This window comes from Homo sapiens, chromosome 2, assembly GCF_000001405.40.
Source record: "Homo sapiens chromosome 2, GRCh38.p14 Primary Assembly".
In the NCBI taxonomy this organism is placed as follows: domain Eukaryota; kingdom Metazoa; phylum Chordata; class Mammalia; order Primates; family Hominidae; genus Homo; species Homo sapiens.
Genome location: NC_000002.12, coordinates 101,021,546 through 101,045,917, shown reverse-complemented (window position 1 = coordinate 101,045,917; position 24,372 = coordinate 101,021,546). Strand labels below are relative to the sequence as shown.

Sequence of the window (24,372 nt, the reverse complement as noted above, 5' to 3'; positions counted from 1 at the left end):
GGGTTCAAGAGATTCTCCTGCCTCAGCCTCCTGTGTAGCTGGGATTATAGGTGTGCACCACCATGCTGGCTAATTTTTGTATTTTTAGTAGAGATGGGGTTTTGCCATGTTGGCCAGGCTGGTCTTGAACGCCTGGTCTCAAGTGATCCTCTCGCCTCGGCCTCCCAAAGCGCTGGGATGACAGGCGGGAGCCACCTCCCAGCCACGGGTCTCTGGGGGAGCACATCACGTAGAGCCACTGGAAATCCTTATGTGCTCCTTTATGAGGCAAACTCACCGCAGAGGACTGAGTTTGCCCTCCCTTATCCAAGAGGGCAGGAGCCATGGCTCCAGGCTTTCTGTCTAGTGCACACATGGGAAGTCCCTGCATGCTGAGCATGGGAGAGCCAAGCTGCCCTGGCCTGTCACGCAGCCTGAGTTTGGGGACGCGTTAAGCCTGGAAGCAACGTTAAGCCTGCCGACACACAGTAGGCTCTTGGATGCGGGCCGAATGACCAGAGGGAGCAAGAGTTGGCATGTAGCTCAGACAGGGTTCTTCCCAAAGCATTCTAGTGGGTGGATGGGGAGACAGAGAGAGAAAGGGAAACCTGTTTTGATACATCTTTACCGAAAGTAGGAGAGACAAATATAACTCTGGATTTGCAGAGAAATAAAAGAAATACATACCTTCTTGGGTCCTCTTAGGGATTAAGCTGAATTTTTTTAAGAATGTGTAAGTGTAACTTTTCTAGAATCTTCTGCATAGTTGTCTTGCATTATTGCACATATTAATTTAAGCTTCAGCAACAAATCTGATGTTTGTTGTTCCAGAGTCGGGTTGACCCACATTTATTCCCTCCTTACTTACAGTCTCATCAATGGCATGTGTTAAGATAGGGTGGTTGGGCTGGGCGCGGTAATCCCAGCACTTTGGGAGGCCGAGGTGGGCAGATCACGAGGTCAGGAGTTTGAGACCAGCCTGGCCAACATGGCGAAACCCCATCTCTCCTAAAAATACAAAAATTAGCTGGGCATGGTGGTGGGCACCTGTAATCCCAGCTACTCAGGAGGCTGAGACAAGAGAATCCCATGAACCCAGGATGTGGAGCTTTCAGTGAGCCGAGATTGCACCACAGCACTCCAGCCTGGGCAACAGAGTGCAACTGTCTCAAAAACAAAAACAAAAAGGTGATTGGTGGCGCTTTCTCCCACTAGTCTTAGCTGTAGCTCTCTCTTAGAGTGATTGCTTTGGCTTGTGTGTGCAGCACTGGAGGGTAGGTGTAGCTGGGGTAGCTGGGATGGTCTCCATCCTCATAGGGGTGCTTCTGCGGTGACCTACAGGCTTGTGTGGCCACGTTCTGAATGTCAGGTCATCACCAATGTCTGTTCTTCTCTACGGAGGAAAAGTGAAGGCACTTAGGAAGTACTGGAAAGTCTGAGAAGCGGGCTGTGAGCAGTGGCTTTGTTGTTGATGGTGTTCAGTAAAAGGAGTTGATATATTTAGCATCAAAACTAACATCTGCTTTGAAACAGACCTAAAGGATAGGATGGTCTTATTCTAAACTTCATAAAGAGCTGATTTCTCGAGGATTTCTCATTTTTTCAAAGTCACGATATCTTCATCTCAGTTATGCTGGAAATTTAACTATCTTGTATATAATACATATTTAACGAATGGTGAAATTGGAAGACAACTTTCTAGTAGGGAGGAAGGAAACTAACTCAGATCTTAGGAAAGTCCCCCCTGTTGCTTATTTGTTTGTAACTTGAGGTTTCTGGTCTCTGGCTACCCAAATGTGCAAAAGACAGATGTCTACAGGGAAAGTGAGGACAGCCCTGAAAGGGGAATGGAGACTGTGTGCAGCTTGCCCAGGCTGCTCTGAAGCCACTGAGAGAGAAGCCGATTGAACTCAGGCAGCAGGTGCACTGGGTAGAACAAAATGGTTTAGTTGCCTCAGATACGGGAGCACCTTATTCTTTTTTTTTTGTTTGTTTTTTGAGACAGACTTTTGCTCTTGTTGCCCAGGCTGGAGTGCAATGGCACGATCTCAGCTCACTGCAACCTCTGCCTCCCGGGTTCAAGCGATTCTCTTGCCTCAGCCTCCTGAGCAGCTGGGTTTACAGGCACCCGTCACCATGCCCAGTTAATTTTTGTATTTTTAGTAGAGGCGGGGTTTCACCATGTTGGCCAGGCTGGTCTCAAACTCCTGGCCTCGTGATCTGCCCAGCTCGGCCTCCCAAAGTGCTGGGATTACAGGTGTGAGCCACCACGCTCAGCCTGGAACACCTTATTCTTAATTTGAGGGATTCGGTGCAAAATAAATGTAAATACAAGTACTCCCACCCTTCTGGTGGCTCAGTGCAAGCTTCTGTGATTTGAATACTCACCATGTATTCACTTTGGCTTCAGCCATGTCCTAAGGGGAAAGAGATGCCCAGCTAGGAAGGAAGGCTGACATGACAGGTGAACTCACTGGCGACTAGAACCACGTTTGTGAGATACGTGCAGGGAGTAAGGGTTGATTTTACTTTCGTTAAAGCTAACATAGCCAGCACGCTCTGAGGACAAGGATGGAAGTTTTCCAATTTAAATGCACCAGACATAGTCAGCTTGGGGAACTTGGGGTCCTCTTGAGGGGCCTTGCCTTCCATTCTTGCGGTGTATGAACTGGTAGAGCGTTTATGGTGCTTTTCCTGTGTTCTCCCAGCTCCTCTCTGGAGGCAGCTCAGGCGCCCGTGGAAACAGTAGTCCACGTTGTATCAGGCATTTAAGGAACTGCAGCTTTGGCCCCCAGGAACTGGACCCGTTGTGATCTGTAGAATTTAATTTCTGTATGTGTCCAGAGGACTTTCTCTGTGTTTTCTCCTTTTGAGGGCTGGATAGTAAATTCCATGGATTGTGCCATCTCTGTGTGATGGCTGCTGCCTGTAAGTCAGTTGTGTGATGGTGGACATGAGACCAGAAAGGGCTGCAGAAAAGGCGTGTGTCCGGGAGCCCAGCCTGGCATGGTTGAGGTGAGGTCTTATCTCCGGGGCCTCACAACCAGATCGTGCCTGAAAAGCTCACTTGAGCTGTGTGCAGCCGATTCCAGAGTTGAGAGTTTACTATCTTGCGTTTATGGCATTTAGGTAACATTTCAAAAAGTTGTACTTTTCCCTAAAGAAAATAGCTAAGGTTTTTTTTTTTTTTAAAGCTAATATGTAGTCATGTAGAAAATGTAAGCAAAATAAAATTGGAAAGTGGAAGTCCCACTATGCAAAGACAATCACTGTTAACACTTAAGATAAAGCCCTTGTACACATCTCTGTCTGGAAATTTTAAGGAATTTATGTAAAGGGATCATACTGTAGGTACTATGCCTAGTTTCTGTTTTACCATATTGTGGGGATCATTTTAGATTCACAGGGATCCCTTGAAGCAGAGCATTCAGACATTATTCCCATTTTGTAGCAATCAAAATGAGATACAGAGAGTCTCATTCGGGGTTACAGAGTACATAAGCAAGCCAAGAATTCATATTCCTGACTTTAAGCAAGTGCTAATTTCATCCTTATATTTATAAGGAACTTTATAAAGTGCAAGAGAAGAATCTTTCCCTCTGTATGTTGGAATTTCCCCCTTACTAGAATTTTGGAATATGACATAACTTGATCAGTATTTTCAAACATTGTGATTTGGTTGCTTTCTTTACTGGTTTCAGAGCCAAAAATCAGGATATGTGGGGTTGCCTGGGGGTTAGGATCCTTCTTTCCTCCTCATCAACATTCTCTCTTGTCATTACTGATGTGATGCATGAGCCACTGCACCCGACCTGGATTCTTAAAATATATATTTTTAAAAAGATAATAATAATAACTAATGTTTATTGATTACTTACTGTGTGTCAGATATGCATCTCAACTTTTTTTTTTTTGAGTCAGGGTCTCACTGTGTCGCCCAGGCTAGAGTGCAGTGGCGCGATCTCGACTCACTGCAACCTCTATCTCCTGGGCTCAAGTGATCCTTTTATCTCAGCCGGTGGAGTAGCTGGGACTACAGGTGTGAACCAACACACCCAGCTGATGTTTGTATTTTTTTGTAGAGATGGGGTTTTGCCATGTTGTCCAGGCTGGTCTCAAACTCCTGAGCTCAAGTGATCCACCTGCACGGCCTCCCAAAGTGCTGAGATTACAGGCATGAGCCACCGTGCCTGGCCGCATTAAATTTTTTAATTTTTTTTTTGAGATTTAATTTACATACCATGTAATTATTATCCATCCTTTAAAAGTGTACCATTCAGTGGTTTTTACCATGTTCACAGAGTTGTGCAACCATCACCACAATCAATTTTAGAGCATTTCATCACCCCAAAAAGAAAAAGAAACCATGTACCCATGAGCAGTCACTTCCCATTTCTCTCTCTTCCCCCAAGCCCTGAGCAATCAGTAATCTATTTTCTGTCTCTAGAGATTTGCTTATTCTGGATATTTCATATTAATGGAATCAGGCAGTATGTCGTCTTTTTGTGTCTGGTTTACTTCACTCAGTATAATATTTTCAAGGTTCATCTCTGTTGTGGCACTCATCAGTACTTCATTCCTTTTTTATGGCTGAACAATATTTGATTGTATGGATACACTACATTTTGTTTATCCACTTATCAGTTAATGGACACTTGGGTTATTTCTGCCTTTAAGTTATCATAAATGATGCTGCTAAGAACATTCGTGTGCAAGACACACGTTTTCAGTTCTCTTGGGTATATCTACCTAGGAGTGGAATTTCTTGGTCAAGTGTTAAGTCTGTTTTTAGCCTTTTGCAGAGCTTCCAGACTGTTTACCAACATGACCACACCATGTTAATTCCCATCAGCAGTGCGGTAGGGTTCCAATTTCCCCACATCCTCCTCACCACTTGTTATCAAACTTTTTGAAACTTGGATTCTTAAGCAAGTGTTTTTCTGGTAATTCTCAGTGTTACTCAAACCAGGAAGGAATGCTTATTTGGCCTGTGAGTTTATTAAATTACTGCTGTGCAGAGACAGCGCGTCTGCTCTGCGTCCTTGTTCTGAAGGTTGGCCATGCAGTTAGAATGTGGGATGCCCACGTGCACCAGCACAGGACATGCATGGTGCCTTTTTGCACTCACTTAAATACAAATTGTGCCAGTGGCTTTAAAAGTATTTTCTTGGCTGGGCGCGGTGGCTCACGCCTGTAATCCCAGCATTTTGGGAGGCCGAGGTGGGTGGATCACCTGAGGTCAGGAATTTGAGACCAGTCTGGGCAACATGGCAAAACCCCATCTCTACTATAAATACAAAAATTAGCCGGGCGCGGTGGCGCGTCCCTGTAATCCCAGCTACTTGGGAGGCTGAGGCAGGACAGTCACTTGAACCTGGGAGGTGGAGGTTGCAGTGAGCTGAGCTCGCACCACTGCACTCCATCCTGGGCGACAGAGCGAGACTCTGTCTCAAAAATAAAATGAAACAAAAAAGGAAAAGTATTTTCCTTTGTAATCTTGGCTGTCCATTCACCTTTCCTATCTCTTCTTCTTCTCTCCCTGTCCTTCCCCAGGGACCTGGAAGCCAGAGCACAGAATGAGTTCTTCCGGGCTTTCTTCAGGTTGCCGAGGAAGGAGAAGCTGCACGCGGTTGTGGACTGTTCGCTCTGGACGCCGTTCAGTCGCTGTCACACCACGGGGCGGATGTTCGCCTCTGACAGCTACATCTGCTTTGCCAGCAGAGAAGATGGCTGCTGTAAGATCATCCTGCCACTCAGAGAGGTAGACTGGCCCTACTGTCTGCTTCCCGAAGCAGCCTTTTGTTGTTTGAACACAAGGTTGCTGGCTGTGAGATGGAGTGTGGGAGGGGAAGTTCAGACGGCACAGTTTTGCCATCTAAAGATGGATGACTCCAAGGCTGGGCTTCTTGAGGGAGGCATGGCCTGAATTGGACCATTACCCATTCGGCCATTGCTTTTTCTGCTGTTGCTATGGCATCCTGAAATTTGCCAACAAGTGACTGCTGAAAACAGGGGACTCTAACCTCCACATTATTGATAAAGCTGTTATTAAAAAGTACATACCTAGCAATTAAAGATTTTTCCAGCAGCTCCTAGGAATGAATCCTCCCCTTTCACTCACCAAAAAAAAGAAAGGAAAAAAAAAAGCAACCTACAAAAAGCATCACCTTTTAAAAATAAATGGTAAATTGCCTGGCTTTTGTATGCTCCTGGAACTTCAGTTAAAAATTTTAAAATGCTTCCATTGACAGGGATCAGGTCCCTTCTTCCTATAAAATTCTGCAATTCTCTTCTTGGAAATGGGGGCTCAGATTACTTCCAGATCTGAGCAGCTCAGTCCTTTGGCTTCAGGGCAGCAATTCTGGTGAGATGGTACCCACAACTCTGTTTACACGTCAGGACCTCCAGATTCTTCTTTCTGATAACAAACGTACTGAGCATTCTTCTTTGGAAAAACTCAAAACTCTTATTTTTTTCTTCTTTTTAGAGAGGAGGGTTTCACTGTGTTGCCCAGGCTGGTCTCAAACTCCTGGGCTCAATCGATCCTCCCACTTGGCCTCTGACAATGCTGGGATTACTCCTTGTGGTCTCCTAACTCCATGTTATTATTCTGTAGTAGATGTCTTCATTTTACAAATATTTTTACTTATTAGTGGAGCAAGAAATCTAGGAGCCAACTTACATGCTTAAAAAATTTTTTTTGGTAATGTGTACCTAACCAGAAATGACATTTAAACCATTTTAAGTGTATGGCTCAGTGGCATTAAGTACATTCACATTGCTGTGCAACCCAGCACCATCCATCTCCAGAACTCTTTCATCACTGACAATGGAAACACTGTCCCCATAAATCAACTTCCCTCTTCCCCTTCCCCCAGCCCCTAGCAACCATCCTTCTACTTCCTGTATCTATGAATTTCACTCCTCCAGGTACCTCATATGAGTGGATTCATACAATATTTGTGACTGGCCTTGTTCACTTAGCATAATGCCCTCGGGGCTCATCCATGCTGGAGCCTCTGTCCGAATTCCCCTCCTCTTCAAGGCTGGGTCATACGCCGATGTATGGATAGACCACACTTTGCTATCCAGTCGCCCCTTGATGCAGCCTTGCACAGCCTCCCCTTGTGGTGGGGGTGAGCAGTGCCACTTTCTCGCCATTGCATCATCTCCTTTCTGCAGTGATTGTGCCTTGCCCTCTGTTTCGGGACATCTTCTGCATATGTAATAACATGCCTACCTTCCTCCCGCCCTTCTGTCCCTGCATGTTGCCTCTCGCGCAGGTGGTGAGCATCGAGAAGATGGAGGACACGAGCCTGCTGCCGCATCCCATCATTGTCAGTATCAGAAGCAAGGTGGCCTTCCAGTTCATTGAGCTCCGGGACCGAGACAGCCTGGTGGAGGCGCTGCTTGCGAGGTTGAAGCAGGTCCACGCCAACCACCCCGTGCACTACGACACCTCTGCGGATGATGACATGGTATGGTCCCTCCAGACCCTGATGATCCCCTTCTTCATGTCTCAGGCCGTGGTCTCCAAAGGGGAGTACACATGGGGAGAGCCATGTGGGGATGAGAAGAATGCGGGGCCTGTGTGTGGTCTGCTGTCATTTCTGATGTGCCGGCTGTCCTGAGAGGGTGTGGGGAATTGCCCCACAGCTTGGAGGGGGTGACGGGGTCACCCCTCACAGGTGAGAAGGGTTGCTATCCCTGCTCCTGAGGTTTGAGGATGGCCTGATTGGAGGCACGTGTAACCTGCTAAAAGAGGAGCTTTGTCGGCCCTGAGGTTGGGCAGCTGCAGAGGTGGTCCCGGGGTGGCTGGGGCCTGGTCTCCTTTTTTCATGTCTCTTCTCTTTCTCAACCTCTTTTCACCCAAAATAGTGATGGGGAGAAAAGGAGGTGCAGCCTCTCTCAGCCCCAGGGCTGCTTTCTCAGGGTGGCCGTCCTCCTGTCCATAAGCTGAGGGGAGGCTGGGGCTGCCCATGAGGAACTGCATATGGACCCAGATACGGACCCAGGTTCTGGGGACCGGGACAGCCTCACCCGGAGCATGCAGTGGGACTGTGTCTTCCTAGGAGCCCTGTCTGGTCTGGCGTCAGTCTGTCTTCCCCCTGAGTCATTGAAGTCTGCTATGCCCGTGCATCCAAAGGCAAAACAAAGACTGTCCCCTCGACTAAAGCCATGATTTTCTCCTCTCCTCTCTCTCTCTGTCTCTGTCTCTCTTGCTGTGCAGGCTTCACTCGTGTTTCATTCAACAAGCATGTGCAGTGACCACAGATTTGGGGATCTTGAAATGATGTCTTCTCAAAATAGCGAGGAGAGTGAGAAAGAGAAGAGCCCGCTGATGCACCCCGATGCCCTGGTCACCGCCTTCCAGCAGTCAGGCAGCCAGAGCCCTGACTCCCGAATGGTGGGTGACGCCTGGTGCCCAAGCTGGACCACAAAGCTGAGCCGTGGGCTTGGGGGGGTTGCCCAGCTGTCTGAGTCACCATGGAACGTGGCACCTGACTTTGGGAAGCTAACGCTCCTCCTCCGTCTTGTTCTCATGGGTGAAAAGTGACCACTGAGGTGGTCAGAGGACTGAGGGGCTGCTCTCCCACCCACCCTTCGGTAAACCTCGCGCAGCTCTCAGCTGTGGGGCCTGCGGAGCTGGCCGCGCTGCCCCTTGGGGGTCTCCAGGCACAGAATGGGTTCCTCTCCTTCCAGCCAGTGCTGTCTGTGTGCCCCGCGTTATAGCTTTCCTTTTTCCTTTTTTTTTGTCTTCTGGGAGAAGAGGTCACCAGTCTTCTAGTTTTACTAAACTGGAAATATTTTTGCTATATTTACTTACAGATTTCCTCTTTGTAGGGAGAACTTGAGGGAAATGTCACGTATAGTCTGGTAAAGATACTGGAAGTTGTGCTTTGAAATGGGGCCATGGCAGGCAGGGTGCTGCGCTGGACCATGAGCACTGGGCAGTGGCCATGAACCTGTTAACCCGAGCTTATTTTTGGTCGCTTTAATGGCTCCTGTAAAATCTATTGTTGGTTTTATTTATCCAAAACTGAGCCTTCTCATAGGCTTTACACCCGGATCCTTAATTAACTTTTGTTGACAAAATGTATGAGAATGTTAAATATATGTATTTATTTCTGCCATTACTGGAGAATACAGATAATTAAAAGCAAATGTAAATACCTAGTTTAAAAGGCACTAAACATTCCTGCCACCTAGGGGTAATTTCAAGTATTTTCAGTTGCCTAGAGAAATGGTATCTTTCTCATTTCTGTTAATGAGAACAATGCAGTTTTTTTCAGGTTTCAGTTTTCCCTCTGGCTGTCAGGAAGCTCAGGGGAAATTGTGATGCCCCTGTACTCCCCTTTGCCCTCTGAGCTGACCAGTGTCTTTTTGGCAGATGCAACATCCAGAGAAAGCTTCCCCCAGCGTCCCCCTTACCCACCCCTCCCTCCCATCTGATTTGGGCTACTTTAATACTTGGATTCACATACCCTTGTTATCAGCCTTGCTAAGGAAATCGTATTTTATTTGTATAAATGCTCCCACTGGGCTCTGAGCTCCTGCAGGGCCTTACCCTGTGTTATTCATCTTTGCATCCTCTGTGCCCCCAGTAAAGGTTCAGAAATATTTGCGGCTTGAATACAGGTGTCCTTGCCCGTTGCTGTTGGCCCCTCGGAGAGCAGGGGCAGTACTTCCTCCATTGCCAGCGGTGCATCGGTGGGTGGGGGGTGGTGAGGACAGACTTCTTTGTACATTAAGAATATTCCCATTTCCAGTCCAGAGAACAGATAAAAATAAGCCTGTGGAATGACCACTTTGTGGAATACGGCAGAACCGTGTGTATGTTTCGCACAGAGAAGATTCGGAAGCTCGTAGCCATGGGCATCCCTGAATCTTTGCGAGGGAGACTCTGGCTTCTCTTCTCAGGTAAGCGCTCTTGGTGTCTCGAAGCTAATTGTTCTTTTTGTCATGGACACAGGAACAGCCCGGACCCGAGCAGCGCGTGTGTTTATGTGCAGATGAAATGGTTCTGTCTTTGAGTCATTCCTGTGATTTCCCAGCTGAGGACTTCCACTCCCTGTTGTGTCAGCTGTGGGACCTGGGTCAGGCTGCCTGGGCCTCTGGGCTGTGGCGTCCAACTGGGTAAATGCGAGGTCTGGGCACAGTGACGGCCACTCTTTTAAAAATGCCTTCACGAGGCTCTACATAGTGCTGAGAATTCTATTCAGAACCCCCTGGAAGTGAAGTGTCTATAGTGTGTGAGCTCTGAAGTAGATGAAACAGAACATCCTCATCCATTGTCAACTGGCTGGGCTGCTGAAACACATCCCTCAGAGTGTGGCTGCCATGAGTCCCTCCTCCAGTGAAGACACATGGCGGGCACCAGAGGCAAAAGTGCAGATTTCTTTTCTGTTCCGTTTCCTCTTTTCTGCTGGACCCATTCAGGGATGGCCTCTTTTAGCTTCAGAGCCCCGGGGCCTCTCACTGCACCCATTGGGGAACGCCTGGGAACCCTCATCAGGACATTTAATGATGGATGGGCTGAGCCTGGGACCAAACTTCCCCAGGGACATACTGGGTAGGCATTTGTCTGTCCCTCCATATCAACTGTGAGCGACTTGCTCCTTGGAGCAAAGGAGCTTGGGCCCGAGGGTAGGAAGGGAAGGCCCTGCCATTGGAGTGTGCCTTTGCTGCTCCTCAGGGTGCTGTGGGAGGCCAGGTGAGAGGGTCCCTTCCCCAGATGACCCCATGGCGCTTTTGTCAGCAGGGAGGCGCCTGGAGGCTGGGCTGGGTACCTGTGCCCTGCTCCGTTACTCTTCCTGGGACTGGAAGCATCTCTTGTCCTACTTCACTATCAGCCTCTTTCTGGTTCCTTGTCTATCCCCCAACTTTGTCCCTCACTTTCCTCTTCCCTGTCTCCCCCCCAGCCCCCAACCTCCTGCCCGAGATGCCCAGACACAGCCTTCATGCTTCCTGGCACACTCACTGTGTTGGGTGTGGTCAGTGGTCACTGATGCTGCCTGCACCACTGCGCCCCTCATCTCCTTCCTGCCTCCTGGCTTCTGCAGCTAACTTCCAGAGGCGCAGTGTTGAAACACCTCCTTTTAAAAGTGAAAAAGTCTTCTGTATTTTTGTATATAAAAATGACAACATACATTCATAGTTGAAAAATAAAGGCATGGAGGAGTGAGCAAAGACAGTGACCTTCCTCAGAATCCCACCACCTGATTGTGAGGCGTGTCACTGCCCAAGGTCTGCATTCCTCTAGGTCTCTCTAACGCATATGCACACACACGTGCACACACACATGCCTGCACAGACACACGTGCACACACTTGCACACACTTTTCATAAGGGACGCATTCATCCCTTCATCTTGCCCGCCCGCTGAGGCCTGGGCTGTAGCTCTGGCTGTGGGTGGCTGGCACAGGAGTTTTCTGGGCTGGGCACTTCTGCTGCAGTTTGTGCATCTCAGACCTGACTTCAGAGTTGCATGTGGGCGCCGTGCTGCTGGCCCCTTCGCTTTGTCATAGCTGCGCCCCCTTGATGTGCCTCACGCATCAGTGCTTGGTGTCATTTCTTGTTGAATTAATGCATGAAATTTGCGTGTGTGTATGTGCATGCTTGCACACTGCTGCTACTAGGGAATACAGTGTGTTAAAAGCATATTAATACAGTTATTTCTATTATGAGTTTTCTCCCCTTCGCTCTATAAGGTTATTCTTAGAAAAGCCATACTATTTCTTTTATTTCTGTTTTTTTGACTAGGCTACATGGCAGAAATGAAGTCCTTACTCTGTCGCCCAGGCTGGAGTGCAGTGGTGTGATCTCAGCTCACTGCAACCTCTGCCTCCTGGGCTCAAGGGATTCTTGTGCCTCAGCCTCCTGAGTAGCTAGGTTTACAGGCACCCACCACCATGCCTGGCTAATTTTTGTATTTTTAGTAGAGACAGGGTTTCACCATTTTGGCCAGGCTGGTCTCGAACTCCTGACCTCAAGTGATCCACCCGCCTCGGCCTCCCAAAATGCTGGGATTACAGGCGTGAGCCACCGCACCCGGCCAATATTTTGTCCCTCAGTAAGTAACGAGACCCCACTGGGGTCCCCTGATGGGACCAGCATCTTCTTCATCATGACACCATCCTAGTAATCATTCCCCCTTGAAACATTGCTTTTAAAACTCAGATGCGGTGACGGATCTTGCCTCACACCCTGGTTACTACGGGAATCTGGTGGAGGAGTCCCTGGGGAAATGCTGCCTGGTAACCGAGGAGATAGAACGAGACCTGCACCGCTCCCTGCCAGAGCACCCCGCCTTCCAGAACGAAACGGGAATTGCTGCTTTGAGGAGAGTCTTGACGGCCTATGCCCACCGGAACCCCAAGATTGGATACTGCCAGGTGAAAGGGGTGTGCTCTGGGGCGCAGAGAGTCTTTAGTTGGTGTCTCATGTTGTCCTTCCCAGGGTTTCATTTGCATTCCCAGTCATCTGGTCCTGAGTGTTGTCGTGTGAAGGCGCTGTACTCGGTCCCTTTCCGGAAAGAAAGTATCAAATGAGGGCCAAAGGGACTACTCATCTTATAATCAACGGATCATGAGGTCAGGAGATCGAGACCATCCTGGCCAACATGGTGAAACCCCATCTACTAAAAATACAAAAATTAGCTGGGCATGGTGGCGCGTGCCTGTAATCCCAGCTACTCAGGAGGCTGAGGCAGGAGAATCACTTGAACCAGGGAGTCGCAGGTTGCGGTGAGCCGAGATCATGCCACTGCATTCCAGCCTGGCAACAGAGCGAGACTCTGTCTCAAAAAAAAAAAAATTTACCGAGTGCCTGAAAAGAGAAACGTGCATGTGTAGTGGTTGTTGGTGGCAGGGCAGATTCAGTCTTCAACACCCCTCTTGAGCTCAGACGTAGGAGGGCATTAATAGAATTTCTAGACCTCTACAGAAATTACAGGATTTAAAATGGCAGTGCTGTTTGGGGAGGAAGATGATGATCAGGGCCAATCCCCTTCCTTTAGGACACATGAGTGGAGGTGAGATGTCTGCTGAGCTTTCCCGAGCTGAGGGTGTGGTCAGCAGGCACAAAAGGAAAATTAGTCCATTAAAGCAGCAGCCAAACCCAGCACAAGCCGGGATTAATGAAGCTCCTGACATTTAAAAATTTAAGATTTCAAACTTTGTTTCCTGTGAATAAGCAAAGTCAGTGAGCGAATTAAGTTTGTGTGTGCACGTGTGTGCATGTGTGTGTCTGCTTGAACAAACAGCGAATAGCTGGATTTAAACCAACCTTAAGACTTGCACCACAGCTAAATTCCACATTGCTAGATGGGGACCGGAGCTGAGTGGTGGCCGATCGCTCAGCTGGGCGTGTCCTGTGAGGACTGTGTTGCTGTCACGGTCATTCCACTGTACAGTGTCAGTGTGGTTGGTGTATGCTGGATCTCTCACCTATGAAATCTTTACTTTTGTGGGTTGTTTGGGCTTGGATGCTTGTAACATCTCTGTGGCATCACATGGGCCAGTCAGTAACTGCCCTCCTTGACCCCCGAGCAGTCCATGAACATCCTGACCTCCGTGCTGCTGCTGTACACCAAGGAGGAGGAAGCCTTCTGGCTGTTGGTTGCTGTGTGTGAGCGGATGCTGCCCGATTACTTCAACCACCGAGTGATCGGTAAACAGACCCCCTTCCTCCTCCTGTGTATCTGGGGAAGAGTGACAGAGCCTGGGCAGGATGTTTCTCATCAGTCCTGTTTATAAAATCTCTCAGTGCCACTCAGCTAGTCTGTTTGCAAACACAGTTTGACTCCTGAATTTGCAAAACTAACTCGGGACATTCTCTGCACAGTTCTGACAATGTAGTGGAATAAAGAAACTCAAACACATTCCTGCTATAAAGACCTACAGAGTCGGGATTAAAACAAACACATAATTTTAGATGGATAGCTGAACTTACAAGAAGGGAAGAAAGATCCAAGGCCCAAGAAACAAGTCAGAAAGTGAAAACCAGGGTGGTTTTACATGGATGCCATGGCCTGGAAAGGGAGGGTGGGGGCCTGGGGGGATGCCTCTCGGTAGCTCAGGGAGCTTGTTCAGACAGGAGGCCCTCGGTTGCCCTAGAGAGAGGAGGTAGGTGGGATGGAATTAGAGACCCTCAAGGCCCATGTGGTCAGTTAAAGGGCAGACTTGGAAAAGTCCTCCACTTCCATAAGGACATCTTAAGAAAGCTCGTTGGCTGCTATCTGGACTCTGGGTAACTTGTGGCCTTGCAACGCTCCTGCACTGGGTACCTGACTTTCATGTGGTTGAGATTTAAATGTGTGCTGTCTCTGTAGTCCAGCAACCTCCTAGTAAACAATACAAAAATGGTTCTGGGCTGGTGATGCTCTTAAGAACTCTTCTTAGTAATTCAGATGAGAGATGGAGCTGGCCTAAAATTAAGGTGGCAGCCCTGGGAACAGAACCAACTTCAGACAGAATTTAGCAACCGAGTGGATATAGGAGCAAGGCGGGAAGAAGGCGCCCTTGAAGACTGTGTCCTAAGGACTGAAGGGTGGCCTCTAGGAATAAGGAGGGGCAGGTGGGTGGTGTGGTCAGCTGGGAAGGCAGTGATGGCTCTGTGCCTTCTGGCCCAGGTGTACCCTTTCCTGAGCCTTCAGCCGTGCACACCGGCTCCTTCGTGTGCCTGAGTGGCTAGCTGGCTTGCTTCCCTTTTTACTTTGTGTTGTGGGAAGTGGTGTAAGGAACAGAGTAGCAAGGAGTAATTAAAAGCTCGGCGTCATTGAGGGACATGCTGTCAAAGCCACTGTTGATGATTGTTGCTATGTGACAGCTCATATGCAACAGTGCCAGCTAGACCTTCTGTGAGAGTGCCCGTGCCTGTGTGGACACTGCCCCAAGACAGGAGGGGACCATTGGAACACATGCATCACCCCAGCAAGTTCTCTTCTGCCCCCTTCCTGCCATGGGCAACACCTGGTACTGAGTTCTATCACCATGGGTTAATTTGGCCTACTCTTGAACCTTGTATAAATGTAATCATGGAGGACAGGGTCTTTTGTGTCTGGCTTCCGTCACACAGCAGAGCATCTGTAAGAGGCAGCCACATTGTTGGTGCATTTGTAGAGCTTGCTCCTCTTTGTTGCTGAGTAGGATTTCACTGGTGTGCTTGTCCAGTCACCTGCTGATGCGCATTTGAGTTGTTTCCAGTCTTGGAATATGATAAAGTAGCAATGAGCAGTCATATAAGTCTTTTTATGAATATATACTGTCATTTTTCTTGGGTATTTACCTAGGAGAATTGTGGGGTCATAGGTTAGATGTATGACTTAATAAGAAACTCACAGTGTTCCAGAGTGGATGTAACATGTTCATTTGTCTCATACCAGCATTGTAGGAGAATTCAGCTTGCTCCACATCCTTGCTAAAACTTGGTAATGTTCATCTTTTTAATTTTAGGCATCTAGTGGGTAAGAAGTGGTATAATTATGGTGGTTTTAATTTGCATTTCTCTGATGATTAATGATGTCTCTTTGCTTCCTGACCATTTGTTTATTGGCTCTTCTGAGTGTTTAAATCTTTAGCCTCTTTAAAAAAGGTTGGTTGTTACCTTCTTACTAAGTTGCAAGAGTTCTTTCTTTTGAATATAAGACCTCTGTCAGGCATATGGATTGCAAATATTTTCTCCAAGTTTGAAGCTTGCATTTTCATTTTATTAATGGTGTCTTTTAGAGAACAGCAGTTTTAATTTTGATGAAGTCCAGTTTACAATTTTTTCTATGGTTAGTACTTTTTATGTCATAAGAAATGTTGTATTTTTCTTAAATCTCTTCTAAAAATTTTACAGTATTAACTTTTATATGTAGGTCTATGGTCTATTTCAGATATATTTTTTCTGTATGGTGTGAGGTAGGGGCTAGTGTTCCTTTTTTATTTCCCCCATGCCACTTTCCAGCTGATCAAGCAGTATTTTTTTTAAAAAGGCTATCTTTTACCCATTGAATTACCTTGGTCTAAAAGTCAGAATCAATGAACTAAGCATGGACGCTTTTCTGGACTCAAATTCCATCTCTTTGTTCTGGTTACCTCAGAGTGATTTTAATTTCAGACTGACCTTAGAGAGTGAGTCCTACCCCAGCCAGAGCCCTGTGCCCTTTCTTTTCCAGGGGCACAAGTTGACCAGTCTGTCTTCGAGGAGCTCATCAAGGGTCATCTCCCAGAGCTGGCAGAGCACATGAACGACCTCTCAGCCCTGGCGTCCGTCTCTCTCTCGTGGTTCCTGACCCTGTTCCTCAGCATCATGCCTCTAGAGAGTGCGGTGAATGTGGTAGACTGCTTCTTCTATGATGGCATCAAAGCCATCTTCCAGCTGGGACTGGCTGTGCTTGAGGCCAATGCTGAGGACCTGTGCAGCAGCAAGGATGATGGCCAGGCCTTGATGATCCTCAGCAGGTGGGCCCCGCTGCACCTCTGTGGCCAACCAGAGATGGAGGAGGCAGCAGCACGTGCCCAGCAGGGCTATCGGTGGGGAAGTTTTTTTTTTTTTTTATTGAGACAGAGTCTCACTCTGTTGCCCAGGCTGGAGTGCAGTGGCACCCCACAATCTGCTCACTACAACCTCCGCCTCCCAGCTTCAAATGATTCTCCTGCCTCAGTCTCCCGAGTAGCTGGGACTACAGGAACCCACCACCATGCTCGGCTAATTTTTGTATTTTTAGTAGAGACAGGGTTTCACCATGTTGGCTAGGTTGGTCTCGAACTCCTGGCCTCAAGTGATCCACCCTCCTCGGCCTCCCAGAGTGCTGGGATTACAAGTGTGAGCCACTGCCTGGCCCCTGTGGAAGTTTTCTGTTCGTCTCAGCCTCTTGACATTCTGTGGCCTCCCAAGCCAGTTTGCCATGTGGCACTGTCCCAGGCATGGGGTGAAGGGTGCCATTGTCCCTCACTCCTTTCCACAGTGAGAAACTCCAGGAAGAGCAGGGCCATAGATGCTTTTCTTTAAGAAGATTAAATGTCTTGCATTTAGATGGACTCACAGTGGCCTTGAACAGGGCTCGGGGGACACCAGGCATCATGGGCATCAGGCAGCCAGCTAGAGGTTGCAGACATTTTCTGCATAAGGCTAGTGAGCAGCAGTGAGGGAAAAGGCCCACTAGGTTGAGCGCCAGAGCTGGGCTTTCTAGGAGCTGAGGGCAAGTCAGATGACATTGAAAGAGGGGGTTCTCTTTCAGAGCATGATGGAAGCTTAACCTTGCATGTATGCGCAGAATGTTGGGCTTACTTCACTGGAGAGTTTCAGGCCTGGAAAGCCACCTGTGGAGCCCAATCCACAAGCCGGGCTTCATGACTGCCTCTCGCTTCTCTAAAATAAGCCGAGCAGCTGCAGCCTTGCCCTCCTCCCAGGTGTTGGTGTTTGGAAGTGCCCTGGCATGTCTGACACTGTGAAGGCAGCCCGTGTTGTGGTACCCGAATGAGGATGGACTTGGGCGTTGACGGGGCGGTGTGTTCAGGTTTCTAGATCACATTAAGAATGAGGACAGCCCAGGGCCCCCAGTTGGCAGCCACCATGCCTTTTTCTCCGACGACCAGGAGCCCTACCCTGTGACTGATATTTCGGACCTGATCCGGGATTCCTATGAGGTAACGGGAACCCCCGCCCCATGCCCCGTTGCAGCCCCTAACCCCCCGGGAATTGTGACTGGGGGATGGATGTGGAAGGAGGTTCCTGGGCCACTTCCTGTTTCCACACTTTGGATGAGCAGGGGACTGAGCAAGTGGTCCCTTTTTTCCCTGCAGAAATTTGGAGACCAGTCTGTGGAGCAGATCGAGCACCTACGTTACAAGCACAGGATCAGGGTCCTCCAAGGCCACGAGGACACCACAAAGCAGAACGTGGTGGGTAGCAGACGCCTCACCCCGGTGATCACGGTATTGGGGAGCCAACCTGGGAGTGCGCATCCTTTTTGGTCATAAGAATGCCAGCTTTGAAAAATGTATATATATATTTTGGATTACATTAACAACTTAAGGGTGAAGTAGTGTAGAAACAATGTGAGCTTTGGAGCCAGGTGGTGAGTGTACTCAACACTGTGAGCCTGTTTCCCCCGTGTAAAATGGGGATAACAGTGCCTGCTGCGCAGTTAAATGAGGTTGGGGTCTATAATGCCTAGCACAGGGGGCCCGCAGGGGCATTAGCTGGCGCTCAGAAGGCTCCTCCTGCTCATGCTGTTTCTCTGCTAGCTTCCTGGCTTCCATTAGAGCTCGGTAGGTTTGTCCTTAGGCACTGATGTGTGAACTGGAAAGAGGCTAAGGATGAAACACCTGGGAAAGATACCTGGAAGTGATCTTTATGTCAGAAAAGAGCCTTTGTGGGAGAGAAGCTGGTGCATGGGCTCCTTGTGTCCCCTTCAGGAGGAAGAGTCCCCTCTTGCCCTGACCCCTGGGGGTGCAGGCCTAGATTTCACGCCATTGCTGTTTATTCTTTCCTCAAGCTTCGAGTCGTTATCCCGGAAGTCTCAATTCTTCCTGAAGACCTAGAGGAGCTCTACGACTTATTCAAGGTACGCAGCTCTGGGAAGATGAGGGGTTCCAGGCCCTGAGCTGGCCTGAGCCGCGGTGCCCAGCCTGCCCAGGGGACAGCATGCAGCTGCCTGCAGGGCTCCGTGGAGCAGAGGCCGGAGCTGCCCCCCTTGAAGCTGTCTTAGCCTGCCTACCTGCTTCTACCCAGAAACCTCTCTCCCCACCCTCCACCCTAGAACATGGGAGGAGGGAGCTGGGGTGCTCTTTGGGCAGCCCAGCAGGCCTGGCCTCGCGCTGAAGCTGCTGCACTCTGCTGGGAGGGCTTCGGTGCTGTGATCTACTCTGCTCACCGCTGCTCTAGTGAGTGCGGGCTCTGGGTCCTGCGGTGACCCTTTTTGAAATCATCACCTGATAATACTTTTTAATTACTTGTGATCCCACACCACAGTACATGCATGCATATTTTCCTATTTGTGTGGCAGATATGCATTCAAGTTCATATTCTATTTTTCCTTAACATTCTTCCATGTTGCCGTATAGTCTTAATCATTTTTAATAACTCTGTGATCTGTCATATAGCTAAAACTTAATATAGTTAATGAGATTTTTAATATTTGGATATTTACCTGGAATCATCCTGCAAAGAACATCTTCAGGCACATTACTAGAGTTTTCTTGCTCAAAACAGTAAATGGAAATTAGGAACAGAGGCAGGCACGTTGTGGACTCCTGCTACCCTGGCAGAGACGGGGAGGAAGCGCAGTTGCAGAAAGCAAGCCTGGCAGGGAAGGGGGTGTGGCTGCCCCAGCTCGTCTTGGTGGGGGCTCCAAGCCCCTTTCCCTCCTGAGCCCAGGTTCCCAGCACGATTGAAGTGATAGTCAGCAGAGTCCAGGGCTTTGGAAGCCATGGAGCAGGCCTTTCCCCGCAGTCAGTGACTGCAGGGTTGTTGGGTTAGTTAGTAGGTTCCTCACTCCTCATTCCTAATGAGCAGGATGTATGGTGAGAACTAGCAGGCCGCTTTCTCCCGTACACATCATGTTTGCAAGTTTTATTGTTTCCTTTGTTGTGCGAAGGCAAACTATGAAGTCAAAGGTTACTTGGTATCCCAACCCCCGCCTCATTTTGGCTTTCAAGGAAGGAAAACAGGGAATACCAGGAACATAAAAGTAGGCAAACAAATTATGTGAGTTTTGGCTTGTGTTTTTTACCTTAAAAAGACTTTGATTTATTTAGGGCTAATTGTTCTCAGGTTGAGAGAATAGGAACTATCGCATGTCGGAATTTATGTAATTTAAAGGATGGCTTTAAATTCACAATAAAAACAAATTTTGTTAAGTACCAGCCACATCGTTCATGTTTCATAGGAAAGATTAAAAAAGGCCTTCAAAGCCAACCATGTTTGTTTCCTGTTTTTATCCTTCCTATGAAGGACCAACAGTGTTGGTTGGTACTTGAGGAAATTTATTTTTATTGTTAGTTTAAAGCCATTCTTTAAATCACATAAATTCAGGTCTGTGATATCTCCTTTTCTGTCAAATTGAGAACAGCTTCATTACTTTATCTCTGCAAGTAGGATGTGAACAGTATAAATACAGACTTGGTGCGTAAGCTACTCCTGGAGCCATTGGGGCCTGAAACGGCGCCTTGTGTATTCCACAAACGCGTTCCTACTGCTAAGCAGTGAAATTCACCCAGTGTTGGTGGGTTATTGTGCTCTAGAGAGCATTTGGTCTCTTCAGTGTTATTTTGCTTCCTTTCATGTTCTGCGTAAGACTTATTTTCAAAGTTTAATTGAAAGACACAAAGCTAAATAAAATTATACCTTACCATTAAAAAAAGAAAAAACCATTTTTTTCTCTTACCATTGAAAAAAGAAAAACAAAGCTTCTAAGCAAGAAAGGAAAGTAGCTGGGTGCAGTGGCTCACGCCTGTAATCCCAGCACTTTGGGAGGCCGAATCACTTGAGGTCAGCAGTTCAAGACCAGCTTGGCCAACATCGTGAAAACCTGTCTCTACTAAAAATACAAAAATTAGCTGGGCGTGGTGACGCACTCCTGTAATCCCAGCTACGCGGGTGGCTGAGGCGGGAGAATTGTTTGAACTTGGGAGATGGAGGTTGCAATGAGCCAAGATCATAGCCACTGCACTCCAGCCCTGGCAACACAGTGAAACTCCGTCTCAAAATAAATAAATAAAAATTAAAAAAAAAAAGGGCCTATTGTGCCCGTATTACCCTCCCTGTACAGATAATTACGGTTAACAATGTGCGTATCTTTCCAGAATTTTCCCTCTTGTATCTATCTATAAATACACACATGCCTACAATACATACACACACACTTACTTTTCTTTCCCACATAGAAGTGAGATTATGGTATATATAATACCTGCAGGTTTGTTTGTTTCAGTTGACCATGTATGATGAACTTTGTTCTAGATGAGAATCTATAGATCTTTTCTCATACTTTTTTAGTGATTGCAGTTTCCTTGTAGGGCCGAACTCTGATATATTTAATTATTCATCTCTTGAGTGACATTTGTGTTGCTTCCGGTCGTTGCTGCTTGACACTGAGCACCTGTGCATTTCCTGGACCCCAGTGCTGCTGATTCTGTAGAATGGGTTCCTTGAGGTGGAACTGTTGGGTCATGGGTGACGTATATATTCAACTTTAGTCAATACTGCTAAAGCTTTTTTAATTTTTTCAAATTACAGTTCTGGCCGGGCACGGTGGCTTATGTCTGTAATCCCAGCACTGTGGGAGGCCAGTGCGGGTGGATCACTTGAGGTCCAGAGTTTGAGACCAGCCTGACCAACATGGTGAAATCCCGTCTCTACTAAAAATACAAAAATTAGCCGAGTGTGGTGGCATGCACCTGTAATCCCAGCTACTTGGGAGGCTGAGGCAGGAGAATTGCTTGAACCTGGGAGGCAGAGGTTGCAGTGAGCCAAGATCGTGCCACTGCACTCCAGCCTGGGCAACAAGAGTGAGACTCTGTCTCAAAAAAAAAAAAAAAAAAAAATTACAGTCCCACTGATGGTGTCTAAGAGGACTCATTTCCCCACACTCCACACCCACCCAGCATTTAATATCATGGATCTTTTAAAATTTTGCTAGTCCAGTGGAAAATTGCATTTCATTTTAATTTAAACTTGTTTTCTCATTAATGAGGTTGAGTGCCAGTTCATGTTTATTGGCTAGTTCTCTACTCTTTTGAATCACCTGTTCATATCCTTTGCCTATTTTTATAGTGGTTTGTTTTCCTGTGGCATTCTATGTAAACTAATATTTGTCCTTGGCATATGCATTACAACCATTTTCTTCTGCATTTTATGGGATGTTGATGTGACAGTCTACATGAATATACATAGAAATTCATGGTGTACCTTGGGTTTTAAGGAACAGAAATTTATGAGACCTTTATTTCACACTTAAAAGTTCTTGTGGTTATTTTCATGATTCTGTAATGACTATTTAAATAACATGGCTGCAGTGAATATGACAGTAAAATTATAAATGGCATTTTGGTCTCTTTGAGGATATGAGCTTGCAGACTACAGCATCTGCCCTTGTTTTTGTCCCATCCTGTGGACAGAGGACATTGAAATGGTCAAGAACCCTGCAGTTACTGGGAACTACTTCAGACTTTTGTGAATTGGGATGTCCAAAGAGATGATGTAGTCATTTAGTATGGGTGGAAATGATGCATTCTGAAGAGGCTCACCTGGTCCTCAGCGATGGGGCCGGTTTTGTTAGTTTTCAGTCTATTCCCAAGACTTCAACTCACCTTAAAAAAAAAACTTAAAAAAAATTGTTAATGTATTCATGTGGTTCAGAATTGAGAAAGTATTAAAAATATGCAATAAAAAGTCTCACTTCCACCTCTGGGGCCCTCCCCACAGGTAGCCAGGGTTATTAGTTCCTTCTGTATCCTACAGATCTGGCTAGTCCTTTTTGATTTTTAAATAATATGATTTTGGGCCAGTCGCAGTGGCTCATGCCTATAATCCCAGCACTTTGGGAGGCCAAGGCGAGTGGATCACCCAAGGTCAAGAGTTCGAGACCAGCCTGGCTGACACGGTGAAACCCCATCTCTACTAAAAATACAAAAAGTTAGCTGGGTGTGGTGGCGGGCACCTGTAATCCCAGCTACTCGGGAGGCTGAGGCATGAGACTGGTTTGAACCTTGGAGGCGGAGGTTGCAGTGAGCTGAGATCGCGCCACTGCACTCCAGCCTGGGTGACCGAGCGAGACTCCGTCTCAAAAAAAGGAAAACAAACAAACAAAAAAAACGCTCTGTTGCCCAGGCTGGAGTGCAGTGGCGCGATCTCGGCTCACTGCAACCTCCGCCTCCGGAGTTCAAGCGATTCTCCTGTCTCAGCCTCCTGAGTAGCTGGGATCACAGGTGCACACCGCTACACCCAGCTAATGTTTTGTATTTTTTAGTAGAGACGGGGTTTCACTGTGTTGCCCAGGCTGGTCACGAAATCTTGAGCGCAGACGATCCACCCACCTCGGTCTCCCAAAGTGCTAGGATTACAGGCGTGAGCCACCACGCCTGGCCAAAAAAGTAGGATTTTAAGTGAAAATATCAGAATAAAAATTGTGTGTCTTCTATAATGAAAACTATGTTAGCTGAACTGTACATTTAAAAATAGTTACATTGGTACATTTTACGTTATGTATATTTTACCACAATGAGAAAGAAAAAAACCTTAATAAAAAAACCAACGTGAAAATTACATGTTCATGTGGGTAAGGATGTCAGGGTAACAAGGGAACACTTTTACGTATCCAGTTAGAGTGGTGAGATTGTGAGTAATTTATTATTGTATTTGTTTGTGTTAATAACGTGGCTTGTTCAATAAGTGGTAAGAACTCCCTTTCCCCCTCTTGTTTGAAGAGAGAACATATGATGAGCTGTTACTGGGAGCAGCCCAGGCCCATGGCCTCACGCCACGACCCCAGCCGGCCCTATGCTGAGCAGTACCGCATAGATGCCCGGCAGTTTGCACACCTGTTTCAGCTAGTCTCGCCCTGGACCTGCGGGGCCCACACGGAGATCCTCGCCGAAAGGACGTTCAGGCTCTTGGATGACAACATGGACCAGCTCATCGAGTTCAAAGCGTTTGTGAGCTGCCTCGGTATGCCTCTGTGGGATTTCGCAGTGATGTGCTTTGGGGTGTGGGTCTGTGAGCAGAACACAAAGTGGATCTTCGGAGCAGGCAGATGCACATGGTGTAACACTTTTGTGACTGGCCTGACATGAACTTATGATTTTGAAATATCACTCTGCAGGCCCCTCTCAGGATCTACTTTCTGAAGGGGGATGGGAGAGGGGCCCACGCTCTCAACATACGAGGCTGTTCACCTTGCTTTCCTTGGCATCCACGATGTGGTGGTGGCTTGTTGGGAGCCATGTTCCTAACTTTTGTCCATAAAATTAAAATGTTTTGGAAGGTATGAGGCCAGACAACATTCACAAAGTTCCGTGGAGCTCACATAGTCACCAGCCCAGTCTTTAACACTTTCATTGCTACCATGGTGTGTGTCTGGGGCAGGAGAGTTGGGGGTGGCAGGTATTGACCTTCCCCAGTGTTCTCTCCACAGTGAGTTTGTGTCCTGACAAATGGACTTTCAGCATTGGCATCAACTCACTCTTTTTAAACTTTTTGCAGATATTATGTATAATGGAGAAATGAATGAGAAGATTAAACTATTATACAGGCTTCATATCCCTCCAGGTAAGAAAGTCCAAGTAGCAAAATCAGACTGTGCTCTGCTTCAACACAGTATCAGCTTTGTGCATGACTCTGAAGCTCTTCTCTTTTTAAAGTTCACTTATGCTTGAGGCAACAGGTGTTTCTGGCTTGGGGTTT

The 24,372-nt window shown here is 47.4% G+C and overlaps 1 protein-coding gene and 1 long non-coding RNA gene across 4 annotated transcripts in view, besides 2 other annotated features; one reads left to right on the top strand and one right to left on the bottom strand.

Moving 5' to 3' along the window:
* Positions 1-24,372, top strand: part of TBC1D8 (TBC1 domain family member 8) — a 144,155-nt gene that overhangs the window by 105,465 nt on the left and 14,318 nt on the right. For 2 of the 3 annotated variants that reach the window (NM_001102426.3, NM_001330348.2), the window contains exons 6-17: positions 5,533-5,740; positions 7,263-7,457; positions 8,210-8,386; positions 9,750-9,900; positions 12,160-12,374; positions 13,533-13,650; positions 16,142-16,427; positions 17,486-17,615; positions 17,772-17,870; positions 18,467-18,535; positions 23,397-23,637; positions 24,172-24,237. In NM_001102426.3, the coding sequence (NP_001095896.1) occupies positions 5,533-5,740; positions 7,263-7,457; positions 8,210-8,386; positions 9,750-9,900; positions 12,160-12,374; positions 13,533-13,650; positions 16,142-16,427; positions 17,486-17,615; positions 17,772-17,870; positions 18,467-18,535; positions 23,397-23,637; positions 24,172-24,237 (1,955 nt within the window). The remainder of the gene's footprint in view (positions 1-5,532; positions 5,741-7,262; positions 7,458-8,209; positions 8,387-9,749; positions 9,901-12,159; positions 12,375-13,532; positions 13,651-16,141; positions 16,428-17,485; positions 17,616-17,771; positions 17,871-18,466; positions 18,536-23,396; positions 23,638-24,171; positions 24,238-24,372) is intronic. The other variant, NR_138475.2, reaches the window with a different exon arrangement.
* Positions 380-881: an enhancer, noted in NCBI's record as "H3K4me1 hESC enhancer chr2:101661499-101662000 (GRCh37/hg19 assembly coordinates)". NCBI's record gives its function as "activates a minimal SCP1, AML or CMV promoter by ChIP-STARR-seq in naive H9 embryonic stem cells {active_cell/tissue: H9 hESC(naive)}" and the evidence as "EXISTENCE:reporter gene assay evidence [ECO:0000049][PMID:30033119]".
* Positions 1,628-1,797: an enhancer, noted in NCBI's record as "active region_16298". NCBI's record gives its function as "activates an Ori minimal core promoter by ATAC-STARR-seq in GM12878 lymphoblastoid cells {active_cell/tissue: GM12878}" and the evidence as "EXISTENCE:reporter gene assay evidence [ECO:0000049][PMID:35858748]".
* LOC105373510 (uncharacterized) lies at positions 21,886-22,561 on the bottom strand. The gene is made up of 2 exons (XR_923107.3): positions 22,218-22,561; positions 21,886-22,078 (listed from the first exon to the last, which is right to left on the bottom strand). It is a non-coding gene; the product is annotated as an uncharacterized LOC105373510 (long non-coding RNA).